Source organism: Homo sapiens, chromosome 8 (assembly GCF_000001405.40).
Source record: "Homo sapiens chromosome 8, GRCh38.p14 Primary Assembly".
NCBI classification, from domain to species: domain Eukaryota; kingdom Metazoa; phylum Chordata; class Mammalia; order Primates; family Hominidae; genus Homo; species Homo sapiens.
This window is the reverse complement of record NC_000008.11, coordinates 60,371,905-60,386,456: the sequence shown is the minus strand read 5'-3', so window position 1 is coordinate 60,386,456 and position 14,552 is coordinate 60,371,905. Positions and strand designations below refer to the sequence as shown.

Below are 14,552 nucleotides of genomic sequence, written 5' to 3'. Positions count from 1 at the left end.
TGCAAGCTCCACCTCCCAGGTTCACGCCATTCTCCTGCCTCAGCCTCCCAAGTATCTGGGACTACAGGCACCCGCCACCACGCCAGGCTCATTTTTTGTATTTTTAGTAGAGACGGAGTTTCACCATGTTAGCCAGGCTGGTCTCGATTTCCTGACCTCGTGATCCACCCGCCTCGGCCTCCCAAAGTGCTGGGATTACAGGTGTGAGCCACTGCGCCTGGCCGAGTGCAGAATCTGTTTAGATTTTTAAAACTTCTCCCATACCAATTTTTCTAGCTCATCACCAACAACTGATTTGACAGTATTTTTAAGCGATTTGTCTTTTATTTTTTGCCTTTGTATTTTACGGGTATATAACATGTTTGTTTTGTAATTAAAATAGCAACTAAAATTGGCACATTTAAAAACAAACGCAATTGTATTTTGGTGGTGAACCACTGGCAGGTGGGGCTTTATCTTCCTGTGGGCGTGCTTGCATGGGGGATTCTGGGAGTGTGCGGAAAAGATAATGACACTAAAGGGAGCTGGGAAGATCTTTTTCCCTCTGGAAATGCTGAATAAACTTTGTGTTACGTGCCTGTGTTTCTACTGCGACTCATCACATGAGGTCAGGTGTGAAACTTTCAGCTTTCCACTAGTGGCATCATGTTGGCATTCAAAAAGTTTCAGATTTTAGAGCATTTTGGATTTCAGATTTTCAGGATTTTAGGAATGTGCAACCTATAATAGGAATCTCGGAAGACAGTACAGAAAAAATGGGTGGGAGGAAATATTTCGAGAAATAACAAAATAGGTTTTCCTACAGCTGAATGACACTAGTTTCCCAGAACAATGAATAGATAATAGACTCATTTCAACTTACCACTGTAAAGTTTCCAGAAAAATATTAAAAGAGAACAAGAAATTTCCAGAGATAAAGAAAACAAATAAGCAAAAAAACAAGGTCACTTATAAAAGAACAAAAATCAGACCATCTTTTGAACTTCCCCTCAGCAACCCTGGATTTCTAAGAAATACTGGTATGAACTTCCTCTTCTTTTCTTTTTTAAGAGACAGAGCTGCCCCGTGTTGCCCAGGCCGGAGTGTAGTGATGCGATCTTACCTCACTGCAGCTTTGAGTTCCTGGGCGTGGCACAAGCAGTTCTTGAACTCCTGGCCTCAAGCGATCCTCCTGCCTTGGCCTCCCAAGCTGCTGGGATTACAGGCGTGAGCCACTGCACCCAGCTGGAATGCACATTCTAAGTTACAAGGTAAAACTATTTTCAATCTCACATTATATACTCAGCAAAGCTCTCAATCAAGAATGAGGGTAGAATGAACAGCTCTTCAGGTATGTAGGATTTAGGTTTACTTGTTCCATATAGTTTCTTAGGGAGTTACTTGGAGGACATAGTCCAGCTAAAGAAGGGAGTAAATCAAGAAAGAAGGCATGGGGTCCATCTCAGAGGAATAACAAAATAAGGTTCCCGCATCATAGCTAAGGAGCATATCTGCAGACCCTCAGTCTAGATGGAGGCACAAAGAGGGAAAGATCTGGAAAAATGGGAGGCTGACGATTTGTGGGATCTTTGAGAAACTGGAAAAGTAAAGATTTGATAAAGGCAAGCAATGCAAAGAAGCAACTGAAGCAGAAGAAAGAGGAGAAATAGGAAAAGGGAGAGGAGGAGGAGGAGGAGAAACTCTTAAAGAACACGAAAATTTGGAATGTAATAATAATACTTGGCTGTACAGACAATAATATTACATAGTCATAATAACATAAATACTGTTTGCTGATTTTCAAATTTTCAGATCAAATAACAAGGGAAAGAAGACTTGATTATGTATACACACACAAAAAGAAAGTGTTATCAAAACTGACAAGAAAAAGTAAGTCAAGGTACTTAAAGTAGTGCTGGAAGTTATAAGGTAAGGTGGGGAGAAAAGAAGAAAGAGGTTGGGCGTGGTGGCTCACGCCTGTAATCCCAGCACTGTGCGAGGCTGAGGTGGGCGGATCACGAGGTCAGGAGATCGAGACCATCCTGGCTAACACGGTGAAACCCTGTCTCTACTGAAAACGCAAAAAAAAAAAAAATTAGCTAGGCATGGTGGCAGGCGCCTATAGTCCCAGCTACTCGGGAGGCTGAGGCAGGAGAATGGAGTGAACCCGGGAGGTGGTGCTTGCAGTGAGTGGAGATCACGCCACTGCACTCCAGCCTGGGCAACAGAGCAAGACTCAGTCTCAAAAAAAAAAAAAAAAAAAAAAAAGAAGAAAGAAAAAGATCACTAATAATCCCTTTTTACCACGTGAGAGCTCAAGAGATATTTGCATATTTATATGCAGTATTTAAGTTAAAAGATAATCAAAAGAGGAAGGAACGATTCTTACCTTCAGTGGCAGGAGGGGAGGAGAGAGGAAGGTTGTCGTGCCTTAGAAAGTCCATAGGTGTTGAGACTTGATGTATCAAACTATAGTGATTTAAGCCTGTTATTTAGAGAGCTGGTAACTATCAGAAAAACTAAAAATAAAAAAATTATCATAGTTAATATAGTGCCTCTGATACACAGAATTGAGATTATGGAGGCCTGAAAAAAAGAATTGTTGTTTTTCATTTTAAACTCTTCTATCTTGTTAAATTCGAACATCTTATTAGCTTCATCAGAATTTAAAATATAGCTATTTAAAAATAATGCTAGTGGGCGGAGCGCAGTGGCTCACGCCTGTAATCCCAGCACTTTGGGAGGCCGAAGTGGGTGGATCACAAGGTCAGGAGTTCAAGACCAGCCTGACTAACATGGTGAAACCCCATCTCTGCTAAAAATACAAAAATTAGCCGGGTGTGGTGGTGTGCGCCTGTAATCCCAGCTACTCAGGAGGCTGAGGCCGGAGAATCGCTTGAACCCAGGAGGCACAGGTTGCAGTGAGCCGAAATTACGCCACTGCACTCCAGCCTGGGCGACAGAGTGAGACTCTGTATCAAAATAATAATAATAATAATAATAATAATAATAATAATGCTAGTGAACATATCACATTAAACTTTGGTTACTGCTCGGTTATTTCTTCTATTTTTTAGGAAAAAATTTAACTAGGTAATTATAACAATTCTTATTATTTCTAATACTGAGAAAATATTTCAGCATAGGCATGTGTCTAGGACAGGGGACTCCAAAAGCTCTAGTCGGTCTTTTGTTTTTAGTAAGTCTAGGAAAATGTTTTAATGTTCGGCCACAAGGCAGTCTTTTCAAGGGTGAGATGTTTTTGTAGCTTCCACTATTATTTTCTCCAGAGGACTGCAGAGTGTGAAGACTATAGACAATTGCTGAGTTGCTTCCCGGGGTGTTTCCAGCCAGTGTCAAGGAGATGGCCACCTTTGTGCCTCTCTGGATGGGAGCTGGGGTGCATGAAGGCTTGGTATTTGTCCTTGTACTCAAGGGTGCTAGATGGGGCATCCTGTGCTTTTGCTCAAGTGTCAACTTTCCAGAAAGGCTGTCCTGGGCCCTGCTATCTGAAGAGTGTTCCCTGACCCCACTCTTTTCTATTCCTTTACCCACTTTGTATTTTCTAAACTTCTCCTCACCTGGCATTATGCTACACAGGTTTTGGCTTTTGTTTTTAGATTTGGGGTCTTACTGTTTTGCCCAGGCTAATCTTGAACTCCTGGCCTCAAGCAATCCTCCCACCTCGGCCTCACAGTGCTGGGATTACAGGCACGAGCCACTGTGCCTGGCTGGTTTTTGTTTATTATCCATCTATTCCACACCAAAAAGTATGTACCTTTTGGGGGAAAAATATTATTTTGCTCACTTCTGTATCTGTTGTTCTTTCTGTTATATTTCTGTTTTTTTCTTTCATATTAAGTCTTTGAAATCTGGTGTATATTTTACATTTAAGTTACATCTTTATATTACTCAATAGCCACATTATAAGTGCACATTGGACACAAGGCATGCTCGGGGTAATTCCTGAGTGTCTTCTCAAACATACTCTCTCACTTACTTAGGTCTGTCTTCTGGGGCATTTGGGGGCTTCCTTTCTGGGGAAGCAGATAGGAAGAAGCAATTAGCTACCTGAAAAAGTTGCAGGTTCTAAGAAGCTGTGAAAGTCCAGAGCAACAGCCCTCCTTGGTGTTTATTGGATTTTAAATGGGTTTAGCCTTAAGTTTTCTTAGTGACTGTCATGTCTTTACCAACATGTCTCTTGGTGGTTTTTCTGGAGGTCAGTAACACCTAACTCCTCTCTCCTTTGTTATTGACTGGGCAAAAGACTTCTGAAGTTCCCTGCCTCCTACCTCTTAAGATGTTCTTTCATATCTCTACTGCTGTGTCTTGGGTGACATTAGCTGGTAATGGGGTTGTGCAAAGGGCTGAAACCACAGATTTAGATCCTTCTCCTACAAAACTCCAGATTAAGCACTTTGCTCTCAATGTCCCATTTTATTTACGGAAATCATGTTAAGTCTATTTTTGTATGTCATTTCTAGGACATCCTTATTTAACCGCTTTTGCACTCTTCCTTTTTTCATAAGACACAGGATTGTGTTGATTACAGGAAGGAGGCAACGCTGTCTTGTCATTGCCACTGAACATGATTAGCGTCTGTCTGCAAAGCAGCTCCTAAGGCATTGAGGGAAGGGGCTCATTATCAGAGCGCCAGGGCCCAACACATAGCCATGCAGCAAGGTTTGTTGGGTGCTAAATAAATATTTCCATAACACACTCTAACAACTACTTTTTTCTTTTGGCTAATTACTTGGGAACAATATTAATTATGAGCAACTCTGATAAGTTTCACTTGTAAAATTATTTATTCAACTCTGACATGGGTATTGGGACCCCATAGGAACGGAAGAGCAATCTGAGTATATGTGAACCTGCAGTTCTTCTTAAGTTACCCAGTACTGAAAAATGGAAAGTTTTTGAACATTCTTGAAACATTTTAAAAACTAAGACCTAAAAGCCTGTTAACAGAAATATGATTTAGTTTAGAAAATGATTCATAAAGCTCACGACCTCTTTTTACCTCATGTTACCCCAGTCTGAGCACTGTCTTTTGCACAATTGCTAAGACTAAGATCTTCATGGGAACACTGGGCCTCAGCTGTCAGAACTTTGTCTGCTCTAGGTATTTTTTCTTGAATACGGTATTCCCATTTAACAAGTGTGATGGCTCAGGTAGAGATATGCTGCTGATAGGAAGAAAGGATTTCCTAATAGTGAGTTTTTACTCTGCTTATGGCTGCTTACATACCTGCTGGAAGTCAATTTAATCTTGCAGACTTCTATTTGGCATTTCAGCCACGTTCCCTATATGTTTCCAAATGTCAGTTGTTCTCTCTGTAAAACTTGCGATGAAATTTTTACTAGCACACAAGTGTAGATTCAACCTTTTTGCTTTTTTCTTCGATCTCTATCAGCAAAATGAGGTCTGGGATTTGATGGGGTCATGTCAGAATCAAATTCCCTTAATTCTCATTCTAACACAGTGTTCTATCTAGTTGAAAGGTCTTCTGCTCTCCTGACATTTATTTTTTCTACATGAGTTGTATCTGAGGAGGGAGTATGAGAGTCTTGGGTTTTACATATCAATCGGAAGTGTGTCAGGGATGGCTGATGTTAGTCCTGTCATGGATTTTTAACTACAGCCTATGAGTTGGAAGTTGTAATTATTGAAGGCCTTTATCTAAAATGACTTTGCAAAATACTGTGTTCATTACATTTCCAGATTTTATCCATATTTTCAGTCAAGATTCCTGTTTCATCTTGTAATACACATTTTAGAGTAGCAACATTAAACTATTCATTTGATGTTTACAGCTTGATGGTTCATTTTCTAAGGAACAATTCTGTTTTCTATTTTGTCATTGTGTCTCCAGTGTTTTTTGAACCCATTTTTGTGGCTTTATTCTGGATTGTTTGAAAATGTTTTCCTTCTCTGGGGGGTCTGGAGAAAGAGCCTGAATTTCTCACTATTCAGTTTCTTTACTGGCAAGAATAAAATTATATCTGTAGTGCTTGGACTAAATTATGTGATTTCCTCCTCCTAAGCCATAAACCATAAATGATGTTGAAATCATCTGTTATGGAAACAAAGTTTCATAATCTGAAATATCTGGCTTTAATGGTCATATAATAAGTGGCTGGGTGTGGTAGCTCACTCCTGTAATCCTAGCACTTTGGGAGGCTGAGGCGGGTGGATTGCTCAAGGCCAGGAGTTCGAGACCAGCCTGGCCAACGTGGCAAAACCCCCTTTCTACTAAAAATACAAAAATTAGCCAGCACAGTGGCACACACCTGTGGTCCCAGCTACTCTTGGAAGCTGAGGTGGGAGGATTGCCTGGGCCCGGGAGGTAGAGGCTGCAGTGAGCCAAGATGGCACCACTGGGAAACAGAGGGAGACCCTATCTCAAAAGAAAAAAAAGTTGTATAATAAATGATACTGAGATAACGGTAGAGCTGTCTGGGATGAATAGAAATTTGACTCCAGAATTGATGCCAAAATGAAAGAGTTTGCAGATGGAGGCACAAATAGAGGGTCAATTTCCATCTTTCTGTTTTACATTTTCCCAGGGCATCGTATTTAAGATACATTGGCTTCTTCTGTTTTGCATTGGTAAAGATGGACAGATGGTGAAATGGGATCAAATAACAGAAAGCTGACACATCCTGTTCTCAAGCAGTTTAGCAGGTTCATAGATTAAAGGTTAAGCCCTTTCCCCACCAAGCCTTATCAAGTCTCTGACTTTGCGCCACAAATTTGATGAAATTGGGGAGGCAGTGGTCTAACTGCAGATTGACATGGCTCTGAGCTTGTCACCAAAGAAACATTCCCGTCTGCCAAAATAGTTAACAATAAAATACATAAACAGCCCTTCTTTCCCCTGGAACTAGTTTGTTCTTTTATTTTCTTAAGCTCAAAGTCAAACCACAATATCTTACCAGCACCTTCTGATGGGGTTTATTATTGCTTTTCTTTTAACATGGAATTTTTACATTTGAATTGTTGATATGCTTTAAAATAAAAGTACTCACTTTTTATTGGGCTTGCAAGGGTTCTGCATTTTCTGGAAAGTTTAGGTAGGAACAAAATGCTTACTTTTCAGTTGAATATACCTAAATTGAAAATGACTCAATAAAATTCACACCCTTGGTCCCTGAAAATAAGTCTAATCATTTTATTATATGCAGATCACGTGGTTTAGTTTTATGAACAATGAATGACCTTAGTTGAAAACTGGCTTCCCTTTGAAAGTATTTCCAGAAAGAGGGTCTTCGGAAACAAAAAAACCTCTTAATTTTTAATAGACTCCTCCAACCTACAACTGGCTTATAGTTAACAACCCTATAAAACAGGTAAATCCAGTTAATTACACTGAGGCCAATTCAGCCAATGATCTTAGTGGTTTGATAGATACTTACACTACTTAAAGTTGGGTGCTTAACTGGTGTTTTAATGAGGTGGTTTTGTTTTTTTTGTTTTGCTGAGATATTAGTAAATCAATTTCCCTGCAAAGATTATTGTTTCTATGTTCTGAATAACAGAGCTTTGAGACCCAGCTACTTCTTTTTCTGTGTACTAGAGTAGAAAACCTTGTCTGTGTCCCCCTGTACTCTCTGCCCTCCTCCGTGTAGGAACTGAGGCTTTCTATTCTGTATGTGACCTTTTTAGGTGCCCCTTTTTTTTTTTTTTTGAGACAGAGTCTCACTCTGTCACCCAGGCTGGAGTGCACTGGCGGGATCTGGGCTTACCGCAATCTCCACCTCCCATGTTCAAGTGATTCTCCTGCCTCAGTCTCCTGAGTAGCTGGGATTACAGGCACGCACCACCACACTTGGCTAATTTTTGTATTTTTAGTAGAGATGGGGTCTCGTCATGTTGGCCAGGCTGGTTTCAAACTCCTGACCTCAGGTGATCCGCCCACCTTGGCCTCCCGATTACAGACATGAACCACTGTGCCCGGCTCAACTTGTAAGAATCTGTTAACGTCACTCCTGGCTCAGCTGACTGAGCCTGAAGTTTATGTGTCAGCTTTTAAATGGCAACACAGAATATCTGCATGTGTAAGTCCTTGTCAAGAAGGGTTACCCTGATTCTAGAGCATTCTGAAATAAGATTTATGGAAATTATGGAATTATGCCTGAAAATTTTGCAGGCCATTTCCTAGATACTCACTTTGATTTTCGTCTGAAACTTAAACCTATAGTTTTTTTCCTCCTACAGTGAAATTACTGAACTCTGTTTATATAACATGTCATAAATACACTTTGAAGCAATATTACAAATGACCTTATGAATATTCTTGTTTTTACTATAAGAGTAATGGTAAAGATTAAGGGTACTAAATTAAAGAGAAACTTCCTTATAAAGCTCTATCCATAGGAGATGTTTCTCAGATTTCAGATACTGAGGATGAAATAGATTTTGTTTATGATTCACTTTTTTGAAGTGGCTGCTAGACAGCTCAGAGATAAATATTCAGGCCACCCCAAGCAAGTGCACGTGATTATATGGCATGCATTCTATGCATTAATTTCACTTATAGCTTCATTTTTTCTCTTTCTAACATTATGTTTCTATAAACTCACTTCCTACTTGTTATCTAGTTTCCTCGTACATATTTTTAAAATTTTAAATCTTTCTGGAAGTAGGTAAGGTACAAATAAAGAAATAGCACAGAACTAATTACATTTTTTTTGGGTTTAGAACCAATTAAAATGTCCACAGGGTACGATCCCAGTGGTAGGAAGTGACTCCAGCATTCATGACAGTGGGTGGAGCCTTCAGTAGCTTGGAGGCAGCAGGCTGTGTCCCTCACTAAAGGGACCAGGAACAAGATAGCAATAAAATGACAGGCACAGACAGGATATGAGTCCCCAACCCCCCAAAAAACATCACAGAAGTAATTGGGGATGGGGATGCTTTCTAACGGGATGGGCTATAACTGCAGACGGATCGCGGAGTGAGGGATTCACACTTGCCTACTGTTTGAACAGCTCTATTTTAAACCCCAAATTGGGCTGGCCTAAGGAGACATGCTTTAATATACAAATGTAGCAAGCAATTCTTCAGTGTGGATTTTGAAGGAAACTCTGTCTTCACCAACCTGCTACAAAGACTGACATACCATGATATAAACTTACCCCTGAGGATGAAAGTTTTGTATTTTCAAGAGTCTTTTGTTGAAGATCAGATAAATGAGAAGGTAACATGGTGAGACTTGGCTATCGCTAACAATACGTGGGAAGGAGGGAATATGAAACAAGGCGTGTTGTAGGGGAAAGCGTTTGGGACTTTAGGCCCAGGCTGGGGAAGTGGGAGGCTGTCTGGTGCTGGGAGAGACAAGAAAATACCATTAGGGCACAAGGGAGGATTTTCCAACAAAGCCTCAACCTCACTTTTATTATTGACGGTAATTCTCACTTGGCTCAACTCTCTACCTTCTTCCCCTTTTTCTTTACGTTTCCTGCCTTTTCTTTATCAGTTTCTAAGACCTGTTGACTATTTGCTACTGACACCACTTTTGGAGCCCATACAAACTCTGGCAGCAGCTGCAGCCTACAGACTTCTTTCCTGCCTCTGTGCTGGGGCCACCTGCCATCCTCGCTCCGGTTCTTCTCAAGAGGGGTTTCACTTACAACCTGGAGCCTTTCCTTTATCTACCCTGGCTGGGGGGATTAATTTTTCCCAGGTGTGTCCCTGTAACTGGCCATCTCCACAGAGACTGGAGATCCAGACCTCTCTGCCTGTGAAGCTGAGGGGGCGCCTGCCACTTCCGCTGGCGTCGCCCTGTTCCCTGGGTAGTTTCCTGAAGTCACGCTCTCTCCGCCACTGCCTTCATAGAGAGTCCCACCCCAGCTCACACACCTAGCTCTATGCTTGTCAAGAAGCTGTTAAAACAATGCATCCAGGGCTCCCGAGGCCCCACGGAGACATAGGGTCACGCCACCCTCTGCCTTTTCTGCATCTACCGTTGTACCCAGGACTCAGATACTACTCCATGAAGTCTGTTCAAGGACCCATGTCAGAATAGACACAGATCTTTTCCCAAATATCTTGAAGTCCATAGTCAGCTCTCCCTGATAGAGAACTCGCATTTCACTTTGAAGCTTTAACTACACGCATATAAGCCCATCTCTGTGGACCTGTTTCAGCCATGAATCGAAACATCATGGCTGGGCATGGTGGCTCATGCCTGTAATCCCAGCACTTTGAGAGGCTGAGGCAGGTGGATCACTTGAGGTCAGGAGTTTGAGACCAGCCTGGCCAACATGGTGAAAACTCGTCTCTACTAAAAAATACAAAAAATTAGCTGGGTGTGGTGGTGCATGCCTGTAATCCCAGATACTGGGGAAGTTGAGGCATGAGAATCGTTTGAACCCGGAAGGCGGAGGTTGCAGTGAGCCGAGATGGTGCCACTGCACTCCTGCCTGGGTGACAGAGTGAGACTCTTTCTCAAAACAAAAAACGAAAAACAAACAAACAAAAAACCCAAAAGAGAGTGCAGCTCCATCTTTTGAAGCGGTAAGAGGGATTGAGATGTACCTCTGGGCCTGCATCTGGGCCCATCATTGGTCAAATGTGCTGACAACAATGTTCCTCAATATGTGGTCAGTCCTACTTCTGGCTTTTGTTTTTGATAAATCAATTTGCCAAATTGTTTTCCAGTGTGATATTTAAGCTGTAGGGAGTCCTTACAATTATTGCAACCTGATAGATAGGTCATGTAGGTATATATATATACATATATGTATTTTGCTGGGGTTTTGCCATGTTGCTTAGGCTGGTCTTGAACTCCTGGGCTCAAGTGACCCTCGTGCTTTGACATCCCAAAGTGCTGGGATTACAGGCCTGAGCCACCATGCCCGGCCTAGTTGATTAACTTTTTAGAAAACAAATCTGTTTATTTGTAATCACTTGTAAATGAGTCCCAGATGCCATATAAAGAACTTTGGCACATTATTTTAATTTCAACTTTAGAGCCCAATGGGAAGGGGTTGCACGTATCTACTAGATATTCATAGCATCCAGCATCATCAATGTTCTTGCTGAATTATCTCATTTGTTTTCTGATGGTCCCAATCCCCTTCTTAGAGAAAGTAATCAGGTTTACTAATGCTGGTCTTAGTCCATTTGGGCTGCTCTAACAAAATACCATAAACGGGGTGTCATAAACGACAAATTTATTTCTCACAAATCTGGAGGCTGGGAAATCGAAGATCAAGGCACCAGCAGATTTGGTATTTGGTGAGGGCTTGCTTTCTGTTTAATAGGTGGCACTTTCTCACTGTGTCCTTATATGGTGGAAGGGATAAATGTAACCTCCCCCACCGTACCCTCCCCCAACAGCCTGTTTCCAGGCAGAGGGCGAGAGGGGCTTGAAACTTTGCCCGAGGCTATCCACCTCCCAGCTGCGAGAGAAAAGGGCTTTAGTTCTTCCCGTGCCTGTGAAGTCTGTACACCAGATTCGCGCCCTCCCCTGAGTTCTGGCCAGGAGGCTTCTCGCCTGTTCAAATTGCTAGGCTTGGCTCTCTCACTTGACTCAACTCCAGGTAAAGTTGGAAACTTTTCCCGCAAACAGATCTTCAACTTCTCCAGTAGTGGTGTGTGTTCGGTTTCCCTTTCCCACTTCCGCAGTTGGGGCAGTCACAATACTTGAGGTGTCTCCCGGGTCCTGCAGGAACAGTTCGCTTCCTTCAGAGGGTCTGTGGGTCCTCTCGGGATTGCTGGTTTGCTCTTGCAGTCGATCTGGAGCTGAAATTTACAACGCAAGCCTCTGCATGCTGCTCTGTCCAGAGCTGCAGTCTAGTCCTGCCTCCCGTCAGCCGTGATCCTTGGGCCTGTTTTATAAGGGCACTAATCCCAGGAAAGCGACACCCTCATGACTTAATCACCTCCCCAAAGGCCCCACCACCTATAACTATCACCTTGGGAAGTTAGGATTTCAAAATATGAATTTCAGGGCGAGACAAAAAACCTTCAGACCATAGCAATGCTTGTGGTTTTATTTTTACTCTTTTGATCCTTAAATCTCTGGTGATGGTGGCCCTGTCCAGTTAACCATTCCCAAGATGCAGAGTCTAGAGTGTTGGAAGGCTGGGGAGTTCCTCTTCTGTGTTTGAACATGCGTTGTTGTCAACATGGCTGGGAGCTGCAGGAAGCCAGGCTTCCTCTATAAGGGGCCACCAGACTATTTAGCCGGATGCCAACAAAGCTAAGTGAATGACTCTACAGGACACTGGGGGAGGCTGTCCTGAAAAAGCACTGATACCTGTTTGCCATTCAAATGACAGCCTGCACGACAGTAAAGAATGCAGTCATTCAATAACATTTTGGGCTTTTTCAATCCTCTGTTACAGTGAAACAATTCTGATGTGTCATTGTTATTTAAATAGCAAAAATCTATGAGTGTTATTTGAAGAAAAAACCATGACAATGTTTTTGATATCAGTGGGATATTATTAGTTAGGTAACATTGTCTCTAAAAGTTCATCTGCTGACTACGCAGTTAGACTGTACAAGCCTTTTATAGTTGTCAAGAATTTCTGAAAATTCTTTTCAGAGGCATGTGAGATTGGGGAATAAATCCAGGAAAAAGAAAACAGGAACTACTGAAGTTGGGCCCTGCATAGGGGATCAGTGGAGAAAAATTACGCTCCCAGGTGGCCTAGTGGGAGGGTGGAACTTTGGAGATAGACTGATTTTATGGTGATTTCTTCTTAAGTAGTAAATTTTACGGTATGGGATTTGGTCCTGTTCTTCCATGTCTTCTATGAAATATTTAGAAAAATTACTACTGTTAACTCATATTTTCAGTGTGACTACAGTCAGTCTTTTCTGGACTTGTGAAGACTGCTGAGTTCAGAAATACAGTTAACATAAAGGAAAACAGGTGATGCAATGGGTTGAGCTGACTCTTGGGCATGTCAACAGAAGATAGAACCTCGGACAGAAATGAGAAGGACCATGGAGAGATGGGAAAATATTGACACATATTCCAGGACACATTCAGGTCAGAATTAGGAGGCACAGTTTTTAGATTGAAATTAGGCTTACAGGAGGCATGGACCACATAGAAATCCAGAGAGGTGCTAGGGAGACAGAGTTACTACAGCCTTTGGTCTCTTAGTGACTAGGAGGAGCTGAGCTCGTTTCTACATGGAATAATACCACAGTCAAGAAGACCTTAGCTTGTAAAACTGCGTTCCCGATAAGTGACAAGCATAAGAAGCAAAAAGGCACCATCTAAATCTAGAATCAAAAGGAACCATGTAAACACACTGAGATAGCATCCTAGGTGTTTCTGCCATAGCCAATAGTTACGTAAACCAGAAACCCAAATCTACCAAAGGAATTACAGGATTCTGTTTGTTGGATGGTGTAAGATAAGGGGGTGTTCTCATAACCAGGAGGCACCAGGATGGCTCAGAGAGAATGGAATTAAATGAACAAAAATGTAGACAATAGCTCAGAAGTTAGTTTTCTTCCTTAACATCACTATACTACAAATTTCTTGTTGCCTCTACTTTTGTAACAAAACATATCCATTCTTTAGGACAGTGATTTTTGGACTCTCTTTTTAAAGTAAGTAAACACTTTCTTTGAAGATATCTTTAAAGATAACTCATGTGAAATCCTACTTCGTAAAATTAGTAAAAGTGGATCTTTTCTGGTTGAAGTTGATTCTCATAGCCAAGGGCTCTGCCTCTTTGACCATCCTCCTTTCTCCCCATCCATCTGTCTGCTTCCTACATTCCTCCAAATCCAAGCCCCTTTTAAAACTTTTTGAATCTGAGAACACTGTATGAAGGTGCTTCTTTAATTAAAGTCTTCAGAATTGTTTTTGTATATTGGTTAGACCTCTAAGAATTTCTACTTCCAACCTGAAAGTATATATGCAGAAATGAATGTCGTGATGAAACATCTGCCTAAGAAGTTTAATTATTGGCTGTGATTCTGACTTGTTGATTATTATACTTAAACATGAAGCGATTTCTAGCTCTGACTTAGCTTCTTTAATCGGGGGGTCACCCACACTACCTTGCCCTGAGCATACTTCAAGGCTGCAAGTCATTTTCTTGTTTGTTTTGTTGATGTTCTGTTTTCCATATTAAAAATATTGTCTCACAGATCTGGAACCAAGCATAACTTTGATAAAATAAAATAAAATGTAAAATAAAATGACACGGTTACTCTGGTCTCCTGCCAGTGAATTTGTGTTGTAAGTTTTTCCCAGTCATCAAATCTCACAAGTTATATTTTTAATGATAGTTCAATTTGTTGAAGCGTATTTCACTTAATTATGTTGATGAATTATTTGTCTGTCATCTGTGATGTCTGTGTGGCAGCCAAGTGTCCAAATCTGGCAACAAATTTTAACTTCTGTGATTCTCTAATACTCAACTGTCATTACCAGGATCTCAACATGCTCTATACTTAAAAAAAGATATCTGCATTTACTTAAAATACATTATTCAGCATATTGGGACATTATTGGAAGATAAAGGTATGTTAATAACATTAGATCACTTACACGTTGTCTCCTGAATCCCACCTGGCCCATTAAAGTAAAGAG

The 14,552-nt window shown here is 41.3% G+C and overlaps 1 annotated feature.

The window, feature by feature from the left end:
• Nucleotides 12,045-12,291: a silencer, noted in NCBI's record as "fragment chr8:61286725-61286971 (GRCh37/hg19 assembly coordinates)". NCBI's record gives its function as "represses an EF-1alpha promoter that drives an FKBP-Casp9 reporter gene in an ReSE screen in phorbol 12-myristate 13-acetate-treated (for megakaryocytic differentiation) K562 erythroleukemia cells {active_cell/tissue: K562(+PMA)}" and the evidence as "EXISTENCE:reporter gene assay evidence [ECO:0000049][PMID:32094911]".